The following is a 22,392-nucleotide window of genomic DNA, read 5'->3' as shown; positions in this document are numbered from 1 at the left end:
AATTTGTTGGCAGTCATGCTCAATTGGTTCCCCATCCTCTGGGAGAAAAGTGGCAGGGTTGAGGGCCACGCACGTATGTATCTGAAGCACAGGTACCTCAAGGAGTAGTGCCTGGTATCTAAGTAGGCGGTTGTCTGATAGCCATAAACTTCCTTTGGCACCTAGTATGCCATTTACATCATGAGTAGTCCAGACAGTGAGATCCTTTCCTTGTATTATCTTGATAGCCTCTGACACAAAGACGGCCACCGCCGCAACTACCCATAAACAGTGAGACCAGCCTTTTGCTACTATATCAACTCCTTACTTAGGTAGGCCACTGGTTGTGGGGTTGTCCCACGAGTCTGAGTAAGGACTCCAAGAGCTATCCCTGCTCTCTCTGTGATGTATAAAGAAAAGTTTTGTCCTGTGGGAAGGCTTAAAGCTGGAGCTTGTACTATAGCCTGCTTTAAGGTTTTGAAGGCTGTTTCTGCCCCTGGTTCCCATTCTACTAGATGAGTATTTGCCCTCTGGGTCTCCTTGATTATAGTATAGAGGGGCCCAGCTATCTCGCTGTATCCGGGGATCCATAGTCGCCAAAAGCCGGTGATTCCAAGGAACCCCTGCAACTGTTTTAATGTCTTAGGGTGAGGATAAGCCAGTATAGGCTGTATTTGTTCCTTGCTGAGGGCCCTGGTCCCTCTGGCTAAGATTAGGCCCAGATATTTGACCTGCTGTAGGCAAAGCTGGGCCTTCGACCTAGACACCTTGTACCCTTGATTAGCTAGAAAGTTCAAGAGATCTAGAGTAGCCTGCTGGCATGAGGCTTCCAAACTGACAGCCAAAAGTAAATCATCCACATACTGAAGGACCAGAGTGCCTGGACTTGAGAAGTGACCTACATCTTGGGCCAGTGCCTGACCAAATAGATGAGAGCTATCCCTAAACCCTTTGGGCAAGACTGTCCACGTAAGTTGGGATGTGTGGTCTGTGGGATCCTGGAAGGCAAAGAGAAACTGGGAGTCAGAGTGCAGGGGAATACAGAAGAAGGCATCCTTGAGGTCCAGAACAGTGAACCATTCTGCTTCCTCTGTTATTTGAGAGAGCAAGGTATAGGGGTTGGGTACAACTGGATATAGAGGAATTACTGCCTCATTGATGAGTCTAAGATCTTGCACTAGTCTCCACTGACCGTTTGGTTTTTGTACTCCTAGAATTGGGGTGTTGCAGGGACTGCCACATTTCCTTAGTAAGCCTTGAGCTTTTAAATGTTTAATAATATCCTGTAAACCTTTATGAGCTTCAGGCCTTAAGGGATATTGCCTTTGAGAAGGAAAAGTGGTGGGGTCTTTTAGCCTGATTTGGACTGCATGGGCATATTTTGCCCTTCCAAAGTGTCCTTCCAATGCCCAGACTTCAGGGTTGATTCCCTCTTCAAGTAGGGGACAAAAAATGGGTAACTTGTTCTCCATATTCATGTAGATAATAGCTCCAGCCTTTGCTAATATATCCCTCCCTAATAAGGGTGTGGGACTTTCAGGCATAACAAGAAAGGCATGTGAAAAGAGCAAAGTCTCCAATTACAGCTGAGGAGGTGGGAGAAATACCTGGTTACAGGCTGTCCCAGGATTCCTCGGATGGTAACAGACCTTGAGGACAGTCGTCCAGGACAGGAGATTAACACTGAGAAGGCCATGCCAATGTCCAGGAGGAAGTCAATTTCCTGGCCCTCAATGGTTAAACATACCTGGGGCTCAGGGAGGGTGATGACATGAGCTGGCGCTTGCCCCAGGAACTCTTAATCCTGTTGTTGGATCATCTGGTTGGGGGCTTCTGACCCAAAGAATCTTTGTCCTCTGGAGCAGTGCACCTTCCAGTGATTGCCTCGGCATAGTGGATATGGAGGAGGGGTTGGCTTGTTTCTCATTGGATAATCTTTTTTAAAGTGTCCTTGTAAACCACACTGATAACAAGCCCTACCAGGTGATTGGCCTGCTCCATTTTCTGTCCTCTCTGAACCACCAAGGTTTGTTTGTCTGAGGGCCATGACTAAGGCTGTGGCCTTTCTCTGATCTCACTTTTCCTTTTGGGACTGTTCCTCTTGGTCCCTATTATAGAACACCGAGGTTGCTAGGTTTAATAATGCCTTCAAATTTTGTTCAGGGCCCAGGGCTTGCTTTTGGAGCTTTCTTCTGATATCTGCTGCTGATTGGGTAATAAACTTATCTTTTAGAATCAATTGAATCTTGAGTGATTCAGGTGACAGGGGAGTATATTTTCTTAAGGCCTCCCATAGCCGCTCAAGGAAGGCAGAAGGATTTTCTTCCTTTCCCTGAGTTATGGCGGACATCATTGAATAATTCATGGGCTTTTTCCTAATTCTCCTTAGTCCTTCTAGAACACAGGTCAACAGATGTTTATGACTCCAGTCCCCATGATCTGAGTCAGGGTCCCAATGGGGATCCATACTGGGGATGGCTTGCTGACCAGTAGGGAATTTATCCCTTTCTTTGGCTGTCATTCTATCATTTACTTGACTAAGATACCAAGTATCTCCAAACTCTCAGGCTGCAGCTAAAGCTGCATTCCTTTCATCAAAGGCCAGGGTTTGATCTAACAGTAGCATGACATCTCTCCAAGTGAGATCGAAGGTTTGCCCTAGACCCGGTAGGACATCTATATACCTATCAGGATCATCTGAAAACTTCCCCAGGTCTGCCTTGATCTGCTTTAAATCAGAGAGGGAGAAGGGGACATGTACCCAGGTTGGGCCAAATTCCCCTCCCCCTACAGCTTGAAGGGGACATAACTGATGGTCCGGGGGGATTTGTGGTCCTTTGGAGATTTCTTTGCTTATTTCTTTCTGAGCAGGGGAGATTAGAGGAGGATTATCATTAATAGTAAGGGGAGCTACAGGGAGGCTAGGATATGGGGGTAAACTGAGAGGTCCTCCTGTGGGATGTAAATTGCAAGCTTTGCATAGTTGTGTATTCTCCTTCAATGAAAAGAAAGCTAGGACATAAGGTATTTCTCTCCATATTTGCCTTCGCTCTTACAGAAAAGGTCAAGCTGCAGGATAGTATTGTAATTTGTACTTCCCTCAGGTGGCCATTTTTCTCCATCAGAGAGAGAATATTGGGGCCAGGCCATAGTGCAGAAAAAAATGAGCTGCCTCTTTTTCAGGGTTTGTGGGTCAAATTGGCCCCAATGGCTTAGGATGCATTTCAAGGGTGAGCCTGTTGATGCCTGAGTGTTTCCCATCTGAAAGACAAAACCACCCACAGTTTTGGTTTGTTTTGTTTCTCCCTCTGCCTAAGAACCTGCAATGGTCCCTGGACCCTGCTGATCAGAATAGTTGTGCTTACCGACGCAGCAGCAGAAACAACCCCTGCCCAAGAACCTGCAACCATCCCTGGACCCTGCTGATTGGAATAGTCGCACTCACTGACGCAGCAGCAGAAACACTAGTTTTCCTCCCAGGCCACAAAGAGGACTGAGGAAGGTTGGATTTAGTGGCCCTTACTGACACATTCTCAAAAACCTGCAACCTTGCCTGTCCTCCTAGACCACAAAGAGGACCAAGAAAAATTGGATTTAGTGGCCCTTACCGACACATTCTCGAAAACCTGTTAGAGTCCTAAGCATTCTCCTGTTAGTATTGTGACCTTACCCGTGTCCTATAAAGATGTTATGCCCCAAAAATGAAGTGGAGGGCCATACCCTGAGGGAGGGAAGGGATCTCCAGAGTTGGAAGAGTGATGCCTTTTGTCCTCACTTATATGAACAGGAAGGATACAATTTCTGAGGCTCCCCATATCCTAGCTTCAGGAATAGCTTTTGTTACGCCTGCTTGTCTGAGGAGGTATCCTAAAATTCCAGATAGTTCCCCCTATGATGGGGCTTTGGGCAAAAATTATGTCTTTCTGATTGGTGAGCCTGGGTGCCTAAAGAAGGTAACAGAGTCCTGAAGTTGATACTAGAAATCATTGTTATAGGAGAAACTAGAAAAGCACCAGAGATAGGGAGTGGTTTTTAGAAGGGAGGCTAGCCTCAGAGAAAAGAGGCAAGGGGAAGTTTGTCTGGCAAGCATTAGGACCCAGAGGACAAGGGTCAGGATAGATAGGATAGATGGGTGAGTCTCACTTGGGCGACATGCCTTTGAGAGTTCCGCTCATGGCTGCTGGGTCAACCAACTTGTTGTCGGCACCCCGGAGCTGAATGGCTTTCCTCTCTGTCGATGCTCGGCTCAGCCCAGAAGTACAGGAAAAGCGGAAGCTGGTTCCAGGCAAACCAATGCTCCCAACTCTGAAGAGTCGGAGATTGTTAGAGAGCTCTTTCCCAGAAAGCCTGACACCCATGTCTTTAGTCCAGTGGCCATGCTAGTCACTTTTAACTGGCTGACAGGTGCCCGGTATTTAGCCCCCGAATTCTACGGAAAAATAGGACAGAATAGCAAGCGAAAGGGGTTCGATGGGACTCTCCACTTGGCGATAGGCGATGGTCTCAGCAATAGGCGATGGTCTCACTGCTTGACGATAGTCTCACCGCTTGACGATAGTCTCACCACTTGACGATAGGCGATAGTCCCCTCGTGGTCGCCAAAATGTGTCCGGAATTGGTGGGTTCTTTGTCTCGCTGACTTCAAGAATGAAGTCGCAGACACTCGCAGTGAGTGTTACAGTTCTTAAAGATGGTGTGTCTGGAGTACGTTCCTTCACATGTTCAGATGTGTCCGGAGTTTATTCCTTCTGGTGGCCTCATGGTCTCACTGACTTCAGGAGTGAAGCTGCAGACCTTCACGGTGAGTGTTACAGCTCTTAAAGGTGGCACGTCTGGAGTTGTCCATTCCTTCCGGTGGGTTTGTGGTCTCGTTGGCTTCAGGAGTGAAGCTGCAGACCTTCGTGGTGAGTGTTATAGCTCATAAAGGTGGCGCGGACCCAAAGAGTGAGCAGCAGCAAGATTTATTGTAAAGAGAGAAAGAACAAAGCTTCCACAGCATGGAAGGGGACCCGAGCGGGTTGCCACTGCTGGCTCAGGTGGCCTGCTTTTATTCCCTTATCTGGCCCCACCCACATCCTACTGATTGGTCCATTTTACAGAGAGCTGATTGGTCCGTTTTACAGACAGCTGATGGTTCCATTTTGACAGAGCACTGATTGTTGAGTTTACAAACCTTTAGCTAGACACAGAATGCTGATTGCTGCCTTTACAATCGTTTAGCTAGACAGAAAAGTTCTCCAAGTCCCCACCTGACCCAGAAGCCTAGCCAGCTTCACCTCTCAATGGCACTCGTCGTGGGACTTTGTGGCTCCTAGCCCAGACAGTCTGGCAGCCCAGAGGGAGCTCGTCCCCCTGATCAAGCCCAGTAGGTGCTGGCCGGCCACTCCTAGTTCAGGGCCCACTGAGCCCACACCCACCCAGAACCCACGACGTCCCACAAGCACTGCATGCAGCCCCAGCTCCCTCCCGCATCTCTCCCTCCACACCTCCCTGCGAGCAGAGGGAGCCAGCTCTGGCCTCAGCCAGCCCCAGAGAGGGGCCCCTACTGCGCATTGGCGGGCTGAAGGGCTCCTCCAGTGCAGCCAGAGTGGACACTGAGGCTGAGGAGGCACCGAGAGCAAGCCAGGGCTGCTAGCATGTTGTTACCTGTCACCTGCACTTTGGGAGGCTGGGGGGTTGTGGGGTAGCAGATCACCTGAGGTCTGGAGTTTGAGACCAGCCTGGCCAACGTGATGAAACGCCATCTCTATAAAAATACAAAAAATTAGTTGAGCATGGTGGCAGGTGCCTGTAATCCCAGCTACTCGGGAGACTGAAGCGGAATAATCGTTTGAACCCAGGAGGCGGAGGTTGCAGTGAGCTGAGATTGCGCCACTGTACTCCAGCCTGGGCAACAAGAACGAAACTCCATCTCAAAAAAAAAAAAAAAAAGCTTTTTTCATGTAACCAAATCAGTTTTTTGAGGAAAGTGTCATTACTGTTTACTGAAACAGGCTGAGATAAAATATGCCTGTGAGTCTTGACACCAAAACTGGTACGCTTGTCTACACCACACCTAGCCACCTAGCTAGACTTATTAATACTCAGGCTTATTATATTATTTACTCTCCCCATGTGTGATGGTTAATTTTATGTTTCAACTTGTCTGGGCTACAGATCCCGAGATATTTGTTTAGATAATATTCTCACTTTTCAGTCAGGATGTTTTTGGATGAAGCCAACATGTAAATCAGTGGACTAAGTAAAGTGGATTGCCCTTTCTAGTGTGTGTTGTGATCATCCTATCCCTAGAAGGCCTGAATAGAACAAAGGGCTGACCCTCCCCCACCAAGGGAGAATTCTGCCTGAAGGCCTGGTCTTCCAAAATCAGCTCTTCCTGACAGCCTTTGAATTGGCACTGGCTCTTCCTGGTTCTAAACAGCCTGTGTGTCTTTCAATTGGGACATTGGCCCTGCAGATGTTTAGAGTTGCCAGTCTCCATAATCATATAAGACAATTCCTTAGAATCTCTCTCTCTGTTTCTATGGCAAACCCAAAATAATACAACATCCAAAAGCAGAATATTTGTGCTAGTAACTGTATAACACTCAATTTTTTTTCTAAGATTATTTTTAATTTTTTTCGTAAGCTCTAAAAACCTATAAAGATCAATTGACCAAATTAGAACTGGAGGTATGGAGGCTTGTTAAAAGGTTATTGCAAATATCCCAATGAGACATAATGTTGGCCCAAACTAAGGTACTGGGAATTGGGATGAAGAGAGTGGAAGGATTTAAGAGATGTGTATGAGGTAGAATCAAGGGAGGACTGGGTGATTTGATATTGTGGATAAAGGAGAAGGAAGAGTCAAGGATGACTCCCAGATTTTGAGCTTGGGCCATCGGGTGCAATTCAGCAAGACAGGGTCTATAGGAGAAGAATCAGATGTCAGATTCTAGTCTATTATTTAATGCAGAATAATGACATTAAAAAGCCAGTGAGATACTCAAGTGGAAATGTCAAGTGGGCAGTTGTATACACAAGTGGGCAGTTTAGGGGATAGAATAAGCTAAAGGCAAAAATATGGGAATCATTAGTATATCCACGGTATCTGAGGACATATTAAAGTAGTCTGTAGATAAGAAAAAGGCTTAAAACAAGAGTGAATGAAGCTTCCAGTGAAAGATTTTCTCTAAAAGAGAAGCAATTTTATAAAAAGTAAACCACTTTTTGTATTTTTGAGGTCTCTTACCTAGAGCAATTCACTTGACACTTTGTCGAGTAAAATGCATGGCTTTACAATTCCAGCTGTGTCTTCCTTCCACTTTGCTCTTTGCCTTCTACTTTATCCACATCTAAATTGCCAAGGTTTACCCAGTCATTTAGGAGAGATGATGTGTTAGTATGATGAATTAGTAATTCTTAAAAAATGTAAAAAATAAAAGTTGAGGTTTTCCTGATATAAACTTTAGATTTTTAAAACAACTTAGGCTGGCTTGATTTAGAGGATTGATTTGACCTAGATCATGGTTATAAGCTACATTTCTAAGCAAACCTTGATACAAATCGTAGTTAACTGAGTGCTTCTGTTGCATTATCTGTGGAAGTTTCTAAGGAGATAGTTATGTAGTATGTTAATAATTACTTATCAAATTAAATTAAATCGAAGTTACTCTATTTCAGGAGGTCGAAGGGTGGAAGAGCGAATGGGTTGAGCAGACAGGAAGTCAAATGGCCTCTAGAAAGTTGTTTAAAAATATGTTAAATGCTAAAGGAAGTTTCAGATGTGTACTTCGTAAATTTAATGCATTTCTAAGACTCTTAAACAGGTTAAGACCATGATTTTTGTTGGACTAAATTTCTTGTATCCATGAGTATTGTTTTTATTCTTTTTTGGTTATTCTTTTTAATAAAAATATTTGGCTGGGTGCGGTGGCTTACACCTATAATCCCAGCACTTTGGGAGGCCGAGGTGGGTGGATCACCTGAGGTCAGGAGTTTGAGATCAGCCTGGCTAACATGGTGAAACCACGTCTCTACTAAAAATACAAAAATTAGCCGGGCATAGCGGTGGAAGCCTGCAATCCCAGCTATTTAGTAGGCTGAGGCAGGAAAATCACCTGAACCCTGGAGGTGGAGGGTGCAGTGAGCTGAGATCATGCCACTGCACTCCAGCCTGCAGTGAGCCGACATCATGCCACTGCACTCCAGCCTGGGCGACAAGAGAGAGACTCCATCTTAAAAAAAAAAAAAAAAAAAAAAAAGGCTGGGCGTGGTGGCTCACATCTGTAATCCCAGCACTTTGGTTTCAGAGGCCGAGGCAGGTGGATCACAAGATCAGGAGTTTGAAACCAGCCTGGCCGACATGGTGAAACCCCATCTCTACTAAAAATACAAAAATTACCTGGGCGTGGAGGCGTGCACCTGTAATCCCAGCTACTTGGGAGGCTAAGGCAGGAGAATTGCTTGAACCCAGGAGGTGTAGGTTGCAGTGGGAGCTGAAACTGCGCCACTGCGCTCCAGCCTGTGTGACAGAGCAAGACTCCATCTTGGAAAAAATAAAAATAAAAATAAAAAATAAATAAATAAAAATAAAATTTCCTATTCTATTACTTGGAATTAGTAGTAATAGGACTTCTAAGGAACTAATCCTAAAATAATCTTAAGAAAGAATTAGGCCGGGCACGGTGGCTCATGCCTGTAATCTCAGCACTTTGGGAGGCCGAGGTGGGCAGATCACGAGGTCAGGAGTTCGAGACCAGCCTGGCCAACATGTGAAACCCTGTCTCCACTAAGAACACAAAAATTAGCCAGGTGTGGTGGCGCGTGCCTGTAGTCCCAGTTACCTGGGAGGCTGAGAGAGGAGAATTGCTTGAACCTCAGAGGCAGAGGTTGCAGTGAGCCGAGATGCACTACTGCACTCCAGCCCGGGCAACAGAGTGAGGCTGTCTCAAAAAAAAAAAAACAAAAAACAAAACAAAGAATTTAAAAAAATTGTTTTCAGAGACAAGGTCTTGCTCTGTCACCCAAGCTGGAGTGCAGTGGCACAATCACAGAACACTGCAGCCTCCAACTCCTGGGCTCAAGCAGTCCTCCCACCTCAGCCTCCCTATTAACTAGGACTATAGGCATGTGCCACCATACCCAGCTAATTTATTTTATAATTTCGGGTCTCGTTGTTTAGGCTGGTCTTGAACTCCTGGCCTCAATGATCTTCCTGCCTTGGCCTTCTAAAGTACTGAGATGATAGGTGTGAGCCACTGCACTTGGTCTTTCATTTTGTATAAGCTTTTTTAAATTTACTTTTTGTAGGCTATCTTTAAATTTAAAAATTGCAGCCTATTTTATTTATTTATTTATATTTAAGAGACAGTGTCTCACTAGGTTGCCCAGATTGGACACAGCCTCTCATGTAGCTGGGACTACTGTTGCATGTCACTGCACCTGGCTATTTTATTTATTATAGAACTATCAGTAGTTATATTATTGAATATTATAAGCAGAACTATAGTTTTCTATTATGCTCTGAGTTATATTGAAATTATACCATGTTCTTCATGTAGAAAACTTATTGAGATTATTCCAAGTAAGCAGAGAAAAAACCCCGAAGCAATCCATTTTTAATAGTTAAATTTCAGATAATTTATTTTCAGAACAAATCTATACAACTATATATTCAATAAGTGCATTATGGTTTGATTCCAGTATTTTTGTGTTTCAAACATTTTTGGTGTATTTGAAACTATCTGAAAACATTTTCTTCTCCTGCTTAAAGGTTTCACATTATGAAAGCAAAAAATTCTAATAACGTAGAGACTAGAGAAGAACAACTAGTTAAAAAGTTAGTATCTCACGTGCTGGCAGTGCAAAGAGAAAGTAAAGTCATTTCTTGAAGAAAGATTTTCTGCTTAAAGTGAAATGTGTACATACAGACCTTTCCTTCCTGAAATTAAGTTCCTGAATCAGTGCATTCCAGCTCTTTTTCCTTTTAACTGCTTTACTGAGATATTTCACACACCATAACATTCACCCATCTAAAGTGGGTGAATTAAACCACTTAGGTCTGTTCTTAAAACAGCACGGTTTGTTGAAAAGCCTTTTTGTCTTGGCATCCTTGTTGAAAATCAGTTAACTGACAATACAAGGATTTATTTCAGGAGTTTCCACTAATGTAAATGTTTATCCTCATTCTAGTTTTTCTGATCCACTTCTCTGCCGTACTCATACTCTCCTATTCCAATTCCATATGATGATGTTCATTTAAAGCAAAGAGAAAACTGGGCAGGAAGTGCCAAAAGAAGTGCTGTTTTTGAGTTTCTAGCAAAGCATCTTTTTAGTAATAAATATGTTGTGTTGGCTCTCAAGTGTATGGAAACTTAAAGAGAGGTAAGATGGATTCTTAAAACAGAATATTATTTTGCAAACAGTCAGACATTTTCTATGATGCAAATACACTGAGTATTCCAAAACTTTAAACCTTTATTTAAAAGTGCCTATGATTCTTGCTGATGCACATGACAGGTAAAGCTCTACTTTAAACTAGGAACTGCAGATGGACTTTGTATAGTCTTTTGTCATTAAACACCATCTACAGATTGAAAGGTTCTGCACTGTCTACTTCCAGGACTATATTGCAATGCTATGCACATAGTAGTGGGTACTCAATAAATGCATGTTAGAAAAATGAATGAATGTTACTGAAGTAGATTTCTCTTAATTTCTTATGCAAAATGTCTACTAATATATATACATTATTGATATAATTACTTCCCTTTGTAAGAGCATTAGTCATTTTTATTTTTCCTCATGTCCTTGTAAAATATTTATCTTAGCTATTATTATAAATTAATTTTGTGGTATTCATTTCATACCAGTAAATCCCTCATGAAGCACCCCCACAGTATTCTCTGCGAAGAAATGAATTTCAGAGTCAGTCATGAATAGGAATTGAGTCTCGTTGATTGAGAAATCAGTGACATTTCACAGGGGTATGTGAAAAGGTCCGGCTTCATTAACTCAGGTGGCATCTCCTGCAGTGGCCACATTTCCACCCAGATGAATGATGGAGCATATGTTTTCTGACCTTTGCTGTCCATAGATTTTCTTTGTCTGTAGTTATACCAAAACCGATGAATCATTTCTTTAAATGGTCTTGTGGTCAGAGTATAGAGAATTGGGTTCAAAGCACTGTTAATGGGCAGAATAAAAATCACTACCCAAGAGGTTATGGTACCTAAAAAAGAAAAATGAAATAGTTTTAGTGTTTATAGATGTTTACAAGGTATAGAAACCCAATTTCCCTGTTTCTTTCATCCCAACCCCTTTTTGAGTTTTGATTTTTTTCCTTTGATGTCACATAATTAAATACCAAGTCTATATTTGTTTCCAAGATATCTTTCCAGAGTGCCAGTGTGTGAGGGGAATGCTAGTGCTGAAAAAGAATGGTATTCTTTGCTAAGTAGCTCTTCTTGAATACACTAACAAAAATATTCCTTTAGGTAGAAATATTTTTCACAAAGTGATTACATATTATGATTATATTTTAGGAAAAACATATTGTTTAGTATTTAAGTCATAAATTTAAGTGCTTAATAATTAAAACACTTTTTGAGTATTTTAATGGTGCATATAGTATTTGTCAGAATATGTAAGCTTGTATTTAATAGATTTCTTTTTTGCCATTTGATTTTAAAACAAAGTGTGCATTTTTTTAGCTTTTGACCAGATATTTATTTCTGTAAAAAATAACTTTGGCTAAACCCATCTTAAAAATCACTCTAATATATATAGAAATACCAAAATACTCTGATTTGATTATAATTTAATTGATGCTGTCATTACTCTTTGTTTTTATGTTTTTGTTTTTGAGACAGGGTCTCATGCTGTCGCTCAGGCTGGAGTGCAGTGGTGTGAACATGGCTCACTGCAGTCTTGACCTCCTGGGCCCAAGCGATCCTTGTACCTCACCCTCTTGAGTAGCTGGGACCACAGGCATGTGCCACCATGCCTGGTTAATTTTTTATTTTTTTATTTTTTGAAGAGTTGGGGTCTCAGGGTCTCCCTGTGTTGTCCAGGTTGGTTTCAATCTCCTGGGTTCAATCAGTCTTCACCACTTGGCCTTCTTTTTGTTGTTCATAAAATGTAAGATACTATCACCATCATCCATAGTACAGAACACAATTAAAATTATGTATTAATATATACAATTGTTTTTTTTTCCTGAGATAGAGTCTTGCTCTATCACCCAGGTTGTAGTGCAATGGCACAATCTCCGCTCACTGAAGTCTCTGCCTCCCAAGTTCAAGCATTCTCATGCCTCAGCCTCCCAAGTAGCTGGGACTACAAGTGCATGCCACCAGGCGCAGCTAAATTTTTGTATTTTGAGTAGAGATGGGGTTTCACCATGTTGGCCAGGCTGGTCTCCAACTCCTGACCTCAAGTGATCTGCCCACCTCAGCCTCCCAAAGTGCTGGGATTTCAGGTGTGAGCCACTGCGCCCTGCTACATGAAAATTTTAAAATGTGAATACAAACTGCATTATATATATATATATATATTTATATATATTTAACAGGATATATGCATTTTCATTGTGGTAAAATATGCATAACATAAAATTTACCATGTAACCATTTTAAGTGGACAGCTCAGTGGCATTAAGTACGTTCATATCATTGTACCATAACCACCATCCATCTCCAGAATGATTTCATCTCCCAAACTGAAACTCTATGCCTATTAAACACTCTCCATTCTCCCTTCCCCCAACCCCTAGAAAACACCGTTCTATGTTCTATGAATCTAACTATATCAGAAACGTCATGTAAGTGAAATAAAATATTTGTCCTTTTGTGTCTAACTTATTTCACTTAGCACAGTATCTTCAAGGTTCATCTATATTGCAGCATTTGTCAAAATCTCCTTCCTTTACAAGACTAAATACTAATCCATTGTGCGTATGTACCACATTTTGTTTATCCATTTACCAATCTATGGACATTTGTATTGCTTCTAACTTTTGGCTATTGTGAATAATGCTGCAATGAACATGGGTGTACAAATATCTCTTTGAGTCCCTGCTTTCAATTGTTTTGGTTTTTTCCTTAGAAGGAGAATTTCCACATTGGATGGTAACTGGACCATTTCCACATTGGATGGTAACTAAACCATTGGATGGTTTAAATTTTTGAGGGACTGCCATATTGTCTTCCATAGCAGCTGTACCATTTTATTTTTCTACCAGCAATTCACAAGGATTCTAATTTCTCCACAACTTTACCAACACTTATTTTTTTGTATGTGTGTTTTTTTAAAATAGTAGTCATCCTAATGGATGTAATGCACATTGTTTATTTTTTATTTTTTATTTTTATTTTTTTGAGACAGGATCTTGCTCTGTCACCCAGACGGGAGTGCAGTGGTGCAATCATGGCTCACTGCAGCTTTGAACTCCTGGGCCCAAGTGATCCTCCCACATTGGCCTCCCAAAGTGCCAGATTACAGGCGTGAGGCAACATGCCAGCCAACGTTCTTTCTAAATGCCAAGAATGTTTGCTTCTATTATCTCTCACACTCTGGCATGATCTTCTCTAAATTGCATGTATTACAGGAAGAAAATTTTCTTACATTTTGAAAAAAAATGCAGTAATTATTTAAGAATTGTTTTGGCCTGTTTTCCTTTCTAGTCACCTTAAGCATGTGATGATTAGAATTTCAACACCGTGTGGAATTTATTTTGGTCACTCATTGCTTCTTTGTTCCATAGTAATTGTATTGTTAGGCATTTATGGAAAAAAATAAACAGTTCTTCCCCAGTAAATGTTATATTGATGAGCAGAGCCAAAAGTACCTACAACTCTGACTTACAATTTTTACAATTTTTTTTTTTTGGCTCTGTCACCCAGGCTGGAGTGTAGTGGTGCAATTTCGGCTCACTGCCACCTCTGCCTCCTGAGTTCAAGCAATTCTCATGCCTTAGCCTCCTGAGTAGTTGGGACTGCAGCGGTGCACCACCATGCCCAGCTAGTTTTTGTATTTTTAGCAGAGATGGGGTTTCCCCATGTTGGCCAGGCTGGTCTCAAACTCCTGACCTCAAGTGAGCTGCCCGTCTTGGCCTCCCAGAGTGCTGGGATTATAGGCATGAGCCACTGTGCTCGGATCTGATGTACAATTCTTTGAATTGTTTAGTGTTAAGAATTTTAATTGTTTTCCTTAAAAGAACACTGTAAAAACAGATTTATTATTTCTTTAAGGAGATTAAAAAATATTGTACCTGGTATTTCTACCTGAAGCAGTGAAAGAAATTTCACTACAAAAATGGGTATCCAGCATAATGCATCAGTAAATACTATAAAGAAAAAACGTTTGGCAAGGATCATCTCTTTTTTAACTTGATTCCGTATTTCAGTTGCTGTTATGGCACTTTGATGAACACTATAAAACATGCTTCCATAGGAAAAAACTATGATGATAAATGCGGCCAAATTAATACCTATTTGGAATACAAACAGTATTATTAATGCATAGAAATATTTCTTTCAAAATGAACAAACATAAATAAAACATTTTTATTATTAAAGATACAAAGATGTTATTACTAAAGATACAAAGACTATAATGTGTGGGTTTTTTCTTCACAAAGAATTACTAAAGTCCACAAAAATCATGAATTTTTTTGAGATGAGGTTTTGTGGAAGTAGTGAAGAATGATAAAATGTTTACTTTTAAAATGAGATATTGAAATTACAGTAATTCAATGAATATCTTGGGTTTTTAAGCTTTCTAGTATTAGTGATGTTTTATTTTTAATTTTTTTAGAGATGGGTTCTTGCTCTGTCACTGACTGAAGTGCAGTGGTACAATCATAGCTCACTGCAGCCTCAAACTCCTGGGCTCAAGCAATCCTCCTGCCTCAGCCTTCCAAGTAGCTGGGAGTACAGGTGCATGCCATCACACCAGCTAATTTTTTTTTTTTTGAGATGGAGTCTCGCTGTGTTGCTCGGGCTGGAGTGCAGTGGCACTATCTTGCCTCACTGCAACTCTGCCTTCTGCGTTCAAGCAATTCTCCTGCCTCAGCCTCCCGAGTAGCTGGGACTACAGGTGCGTGCCACCATGCCCGGCTAATTTTTCTATTTTTAGTAGAGATGGGGTTTTACCATATTGGTCAGGCTGGTCTTGAACTCCTGACCTTATGATTGGCCCGCCTCGGCCTCCCAAAGTGCTGGGATTACAGGTATGAGCCACCGTGCCTGGCCTCACACCAGCTAATTTTTTAAAAATAATTTTGTAGAGATGGGGTCTTGCTATGTTGCCCAGGCTGGTCTCAACTCCTGGCCTCAAGTGATCCTCCCACCTTGGCCTCCCAAAGTACTGAGATTATAGCACAAGCCATTGTGCCTGGCCTAGTGATTTTTTTCTAATTCAGTTACTTTTTGCTGTACTCTGAAAATATTTTTACATTGCTGATTTAGAACAGTTGTATATATACTCACAAGCCAAAGATGTGTGTTGCCATGAATTTGAAAAGATAATAAATATCATTATGTTCATATTGTAAAACAAAGAGCCAAAACATATGTTGCTTAGCATGTTTAGGGTGAATACATGAAATACAGGTGTTTAGTGTCTTTTATTAAGCTGTGTCAGGTTGGAATTTATATCAGAGTATAATTTGGGGAGGAAAATCCTTGCTGGGGATTCTGATAGAATTCACCCTCATTCTTACTAACAAAAACTGGTTGGAAGATTTGAAATAAAAATTTGTGAACATTAGTTTCTTAGTTTCTTACCAAGAAAAATTGCCACTGAATAAATCTGGGCTCCAATACTTTCTGTATCTTCTGAATGAAGAGGGAAGCATACTCCATTGGTGCCATAGTAGTTTTTGAAAAATTCCTTATTGCTCAATGGAATGAAAGCCACTATAAAACCAGTAATCCAAATGAGAATCAGAACTGTAATTGTTCTGCATTTTCCAGGTCTCACACATCTAAAAGGATAGACAATGCAGATGTATTTTTCCAATGTCAGAAATGTTAACAGTAAAACTGATACTTCTGTGGACAGAATGGCCAAAGATCCTACAAGCTGACAATGAGTACTCTCCATCCACAGCTGCGCATGCTTATTGTATTCTCCACGAAACTTTAGGTCAAAGCCTCCGATCACGAATAAATATATTCCCATTAAGCAGTCGGCACCTAGAGGAGTCATAGTTTCACAAATTTAGAGAAATAAATAGGTATCATAAAATCATCAATAAGCAATAATATTTTTAATGCTAGAAAAAATAGTCAAGTTTCTTCCAACTTAGGAAGAGGTAATTTTTATTCTCCTAATAATTCATTTACAGATGAGGATCTATTCATAGACTCTCTTTGGTAACCACTCTCAAAGTTACTCTCTACAGTTAATTATGCAATCATTTCTTCATTTTCCTTTAAAGTGCAAGTCTCTAACAGCACAGATCTTGTCTATTGTTCTAGACCCATCACATAGAAGTGTCGAATAAATGAACAAAATGCAATCACGTAGAGCATTCAGTTAGGGACTCAGATGAGGATGGCATTACTTGGTTCTGCTCTTCCACTGAAATTCTCCCAACGCAACAAGCTCAAGGTGTCATATAAAATCTTGGAGAAAGTAATTCACAAGTTCCTATGATAGAATAATGACTGAATTCTGAAGCCTATAATTTAAGAGATATGTATAATTATGAACTGCTTTGCAGTCAGTACAATTTTAAGGGGCTTAAATTACTTACCAGAGTTGGTCTAAGCAAAACTGTTTTCTCTCTCTTTCAATTTTTACATCTTTTTCTGTCTCTTTTTAGGGTCTCCGATCCCAGGAATTAGCTCTCTTACACTACTTGGCATATTTCTTTTTAAGCAAACGTTACATATCAGAAAGTGGGTGAGATTTTTGGATCGCACAAGCATTCTACACAAAATCCCTAAAATCACATCACTGTATAAATCACAAGGCTGACCCTAAGCCTTTAACTCTGAAGTTACAGTCTAGGCTTCACCACGGAAATTGAACTTACTAAAAATTTTGTAGCTAGCAATACAAAATAGTAAATGGCTTCTGAGTTCTGTTTCTTACATAGCTTGCAATAAAAAAAAAACATTTAGACATTAGACTTTGAATAAGGATGGGGACAGCACATGGGGGCAGCACACATACAAAAGTAGAACCTCATGTAGATTGATGCTTTACTTGCTTGAGGGAGCATGGATAAATTCTAGAACACTTGACCTAGACTACAAACATCCTGAGGACTGGTTTCTTCCTTATTTTTCTTTGCAGTGTTCATTTAACATAACACCTTGCCATTACATTGCGCACACTTTTTGAAAAAATGAATACTCCCTAAAAATATTTTCTTATTTACACATTTCAGTTAGAGTGGAAAAAACTTCTAGTAGCTCAGAGATCAGGAAAACATGTAGTTGTTAAGTCAATATCTGTGAACTGGACATACACATAAAAAAGTAAGTATAGGTCTGCATGTAAAATTGTGACCATAGGAGGTTGCAATTTTATTTGTAGTAAAAGATTTTAGATGCGTCAACAAAATATTGTGCCTTCGGAGCCACTGTATGAGAGAGAACTAATAAATGAAAGCTTCCTTAATTTGCATAAGGTGATTAAATTTCCTAGTTTAAAAAACATATTTTTTTATTGCTAAAGTAATTCTATTTTCTTTGTAGAAAATGTGAAAACAGCATACAAGCAAAAAGGAGAAAAATGTAAAATTCCATAATTCTACCACTCACACAACTTATTTTCTAATAATAAAGCTTTTGTATATTTCAAAACTACAATTCTCCTTTAACCAGGAAATACTCACAGCAGAGAGAAATGATTGACATGGCATACAGCTTGTTCTCAGACCTGATATAAGGTCGCATGCAAATGACAAAAATGTTTCCAAAGCAGGTAACTGCAGATACAACCCAGACAAATACTCTCTGAATAATGCTTGCCAAGAGATTCTCTAGAGATGAAATTCCATCAGTGTTTGGTTTACAGCTGCGAACATGTGGTGCATACCCACAGTACTGGAATTTCTTAAAATATCTGGTGTACAAAGAGAAAGTAAAATAAGATTTTCCATTTAATTCAGTGTCACCATACATTCATATTTATTTCCTACATTTTATCGGTAGAAAGAAAATGTCTTAAGATGAAATTGAGAGGACTAAAACATTAGGGATTCTGAAACTTTAAACTTACATCCAATTATCATTAGCTTGATTTCATTGTTAAAGAATGTGTGGGTGAGAGTAGCAAATAGGCATAATAAACATAACAAGTGTTAGACATGTCTTAGAATACAAACTGTTAGATGTGATCAAGAGAATGAATCCCTCCAGAGAAACCGTTATCGTACTCGCAATGGTTAGTATACGTAAATGCAGTTACACAGCTCCTATTGTGCTGCAAGTGACTGCTTTCTATCCCTCAGGGGAAGAGTTAAGTGTTTTCTTTTCTGTGCTTCCGTGGCTTTTTGTTATTGAAGTTATGATGTTATTTCAACACCAATGAAAGAAAAAAAAAGAAAAGAAAAAAAGAAAAGAAAACATCCCATTAAAAAGTAGGCAAATGATCTGAACAGATATTTCTCAAAAGAAGACATACAAGGCTGGGCGCGGTGGCTCACACCTGTAATCCCAGCACTTTGGGAGGCCGAGGTGGGTGGATCACGAGGTCAGGATATTGAGACCATCTTGGCTAATATGGTAAAACCCCATCTCTACTAAAAATACAAAAAATTAGCCAGGCGTGGTGGCGGGCTCCTGTAGTCCCAGCTACTCGGGAGGCTGAGGCAGGAGAATGGCGTGAACCTGGGAGGCGGAGCTTGCAGTGAGCCCAGATCGTGCCACTGCACTCCAGCCTGGGGGCGACAGAGCGAGACTCTGTCTCCAAAAAAAAAAAAAAAAAAAAGAAGACATAGAAATGGCCAACCTATGCTTGAAAAAATGTTCAACCTCACTAATGATCAAGGAAATGCAAATTAAAACCACAATGAGGTATCATCTTACTCCAACGTTGGATGGATGGCTATTATCAAAAAGACCAAAAAGTAACAAATGCTGATGAGAATCTGGAGAAAAGGGAACTGTTATTGGCGGGAATGTAAATTAGTATAGGCACTATGGAGAACGGAGAACAATATGGGGGTTCCTCAGAAAACTACAAATAGAACTAGCATGTGGGCTGGGAGCAGTGGCTCATGCCTGTTATCTCAGCACTTTGGGAGGCCGAGGTGGGTGGATCACGCAGTCAGGAGATTGAGACCATCCTGGTTAACACGGTGAAAACCCGTCTCTACTAAAAATACAAAAAATTAGCCAGGCATGGTGGCGCACACCTGTAGTCCCAGCTACTTGGGAGGCTGAGGCAGGAGAATCGCTTGAACCTGTGGAGGCAGAGGTTGCAGTGAGCCGAGATTGCACCACTGCACTCCAGCCTGGGTGACAAAGAGAGACTCTGTCTCCAAAAAAAAAAAAAAAAAAACTAGCATATGATCCAGGAATCCCATTCCTGAGAATCTATTCAAAGAAAAGAAAATCATATCAAAGAGATATCTGCACCCCCATGTTTATTGCAGCACTGATACAGGAGCTAAAAAGAAAGTATTTAGGCAGTTAGTGAGGGTAAGAGAGTCCTTGGTAAGCTTTCTCTTTTAATAAAAAGCAGCCCCAAATAATTTCTTTTCTAACAAAGAGCAGCCTGAAAAATTAAGCTGCAGACATAGAAAAGCAAGCTAGAAGCTTGCACAGGTGAATGCTGGCAGCTGTGCCAATAGGAAAAGGCTACCTGGGGGCCAAGCATGTTCAACATGGAGGCTCCATCTTTCCTTTTCTTTGTCAACCACATGTACAATAAAGAAGCAGACAACATGGTGCCAAACAGGTAGAGAACCCATCTGCATAATGAAAGATTAGGGTGGGGCAGCCAGCTTCTTCGCATGCTATACAAATGGCACACCTGGTCCAAGCAATCTTTTGGGCCCTATGTAAATCAAACATGGCTTCCTCAAGCTACTGTATTAAAACCCTGTGCATTTCACCACAGAACTGGAAGACCTATTCAGGAGCCCCTCTCTCTCTGCAGGAGAGAGAGCTTTTCTCTTTCTCTCCCGTATTAAACCTCTGCTCTTAACCTCACTCCCTGTGTGTCCACGTCCTTAATTTCCTTGGCGTGAGGCAACAAACCTCAGGAATTACCCCATACAAACAATGCTACTTCAGCACTATTCACAATAGCCAAGATATGGAGTCAACCTAGGTGTTGATGAACAGATGAATGGATAAAAAAATGTGGTAGATATACACAATGGAATATTCAGCTATAAAAAAAGAATGAAATTCTGTCATTGTGGCAACTAGGTGGGAAATGGAGGACATTACATTAAGTGGAATAAGCCAGGAATAATGTTAAACACCTCATGTTCTCATATATGGAAGCTAAAAATGTCGATCTTACAGAAGTAAAAGTAGAACAGAGGATACTACAGGCTGGGGAGGGTAAGGAGAAGGAAGAGACAGGCAGACTTATTAAAGAATTCAAAGTTACAACTAGAAAGAAGAATAAGTTCTCATATTCTATACCATGGTAGGATGTCTATAGTTAACAATAATGTATGGTTTCAAATAGCTAGAAGGAGGATATTGAATATTCTAAACATAAAGAAATGATAAATGTTTGAGAGGATGGATATGCTAATTATCCTTTATCCTGATCTGATCACTATACATTGTATGTACCAAAACATCACTATGTACCCCCATGAAGATGTGCAATTATTATTTGTCAATTAATAAAAATAACAAAATAATATTAAAGATTTTAAACGTGGAAGTGCCACAGTAAAAGAAAAAAAAAAGAAGTTATATTATCTGTAACTACTTGCTAACATGCCTATCTCTCACACTAGATTTTGGTACATAATAAAGCGTTCAATAAATATTTGTTGAGTGACTTCTTTCATCAACAGAGAGAATTTCCTTGTTGATAAATATACCATGTGGATAATTTATAATTACTATTGTGTTACCACCAACACCAACACCTTTTATTGAGCATTTCTTAAGTATCAGAAATAAGTTCTCAAATGAATTCCGTGAGGTAGGTGTTAGCATCATTAATAGGAAGAGATGAATCTTCAGTGGAGGCAAGTTATTTGCTAGGAAATTTTCTACTAAATATGCAAATTGAACTTCAAATTAGATCTATTTGTCTATAAAGCCATGTGTTCTGCCAAAAAATATAAACGATCTTTAGTGTATAAAGAGCTATAATAAGAAAAGATAAAAACCTGATGATTACAATTTGTCCTGTCAAGCTCAAGGTCAATTGCTGATATTTCCCCATTCGGTTATATCCATTTATTCTGTAAACCATGAAGGACAGGAGAGCAGAACATGAGGAAAGAAGGAGTGTTGATTGGTATTTTACTATGTGTCTTAGGCTGAAGTTTTGCTTTTATCAACAGAATTATAGTAACTCTGTTTGCCGCTTTGGCTGCCCAGCACTCAATCACTCTTCTGATAATAGTGTTCTGATTTCCTTTGAGAGAATTACTTCTCCCTTTTTGAGAAGTTATGGTGGGACCTTCAGTGGAGGCAATCCCTAGCCCAGAGTAGGTAAGTACCCTAGACGTGATCAACTAGATTCTCTTCCCTGAAACTGAATCTGATTGAATGACACTTGGATGGATAATTCCAGAGGCTATAAATTATTCCTCAGATTCTGTGTTATACCATTTTCTTCCAATAAATTCTGTTCTGTTTAATTTAGTCAGATTGCTTTATGTTGCATACAAGAAAGGAATCTTTTATAAGCCATCTTTCTGAGGAACTATGGAAAACAAAAACAGGGTTCTGTGTTAGACTTAAAATACAAGCAAGATTACAGAGTTGATGGTAGCTGACAGTATCTAAATTATTGAAAATTAATTTCCATGGCATGGATCATTCTAATAACTGCTATGAAATTGCATTCAATTAAAAAAGTGCTTCTAAAGCATGTAATCACAGGTACAACTAGACATACTCTTTGAATAAAAGATGTTTCAAAGTTTACCATTTCATCCATGCACGCTTGCTTGAATCATGCCTTGATATATGGGGATATTTTCATTGAGAAAGACTTCTTCTTAACTACCTTCATTTGCAGCATTGATTTATTTATAATTATTTTATATTGCCTATATAAATTCCTTCCTCTTCATCTGGTAGCACTTGTACCATGTGATATAGTTTGGATATTTGTCTACTCCAAATCTCATGTCAAAAGTTGATTCCCAATGTTGGAGGTGGGGCCCAGTAGGAGGTGTTTGGGTCATGGGGTAGATCCCTCATGAATGGTGTGGTGTCCTTCCTGCAGTAATAAGTGAGTTCTCCTTCTATTATTTCACATGAAATC

The 22,392-nt window shown here is 40.3% G+C and overlaps 1 protein-coding gene across 25 annotated transcripts in view, besides 2 other annotated features; it reads right to left on the bottom strand.

Annotated features, from left to right (window-relative positions):
• Positions 2,980-3,486: an enhancer, noted in NCBI's record as "OCT4-NANOG hESC enhancer chr4:159580614-159581120 (GRCh37/hg19 assembly coordinates)". NCBI's record gives its function as "activates a minimal SCP1, AML or CMV promoter by ChIP-STARR-seq in naive H9 embryonic stem cells {active_cell/tissue: H9 hESC(naive)}" and the evidence as "EXISTENCE:reporter gene assay evidence [ECO:0000049][PMID:30033119]".
• Positions 6,039-6,562: an enhancer, noted in NCBI's record as "NANOG hESC enhancer chr4:159577538-159578061 (GRCh37/hg19 assembly coordinates)". NCBI's record gives its function as "activates a minimal SCP1, AML or CMV promoter by ChIP-STARR-seq in naive H9 embryonic stem cells {active_cell/tissue: H9 hESC(naive)}" and the evidence as "EXISTENCE:reporter gene assay evidence [ECO:0000049][PMID:30033119]".
• RXFP1 (relaxin family peptide receptor 1) overlaps positions 9,576-22,392 on the bottom strand; it is a 131,659-nt gene continuing 118,842 nt past the window's right edge. For 20 of the 25 annotated variants that reach the window (NR_045579.2, NR_045580.2, NR_045582.2 and 17 more), the window contains 4 exons: positions 17,810-18,039; positions 15,747-16,157; positions 14,231-14,449; positions 9,576-11,191 (listed from right to left, as the gene is read on the bottom strand). Coding sequence is in view for 19 of the 25 variants with exons in the window: in NM_001363776.1 (NP_001350705.1) it covers positions 10,893-11,191; positions 14,231-14,449; positions 15,747-16,157; positions 17,810-18,039 (1,159 nt within the window). In the remaining 6 variants the exon portion in view is untranslated. Of the gene's footprint in view, positions 11,192-14,230; positions 14,450-15,746; positions 16,158-16,266; positions 16,646-17,809; positions 18,040-22,392 lie in introns of those variants that run through there. The other 5 variants (XM_011532179.3, XM_017008523.3, XM_017008524.3 and 2 more) reach the window with 2 other exon arrangements.

This window comes from Homo sapiens, chromosome 4, assembly GCF_000001405.40.
Source record: "Homo sapiens chromosome 4, GRCh38.p14 Primary Assembly".
NCBI classification, from domain to species: Eukaryota; Metazoa; Chordata; class Mammalia; order Primates; family Hominidae; genus Homo; species Homo sapiens.
The sequence above is the reverse complement of the archived record's forward strand: the minus strand, read 5'-3'. Positions and strand labels throughout refer to the sequence as shown.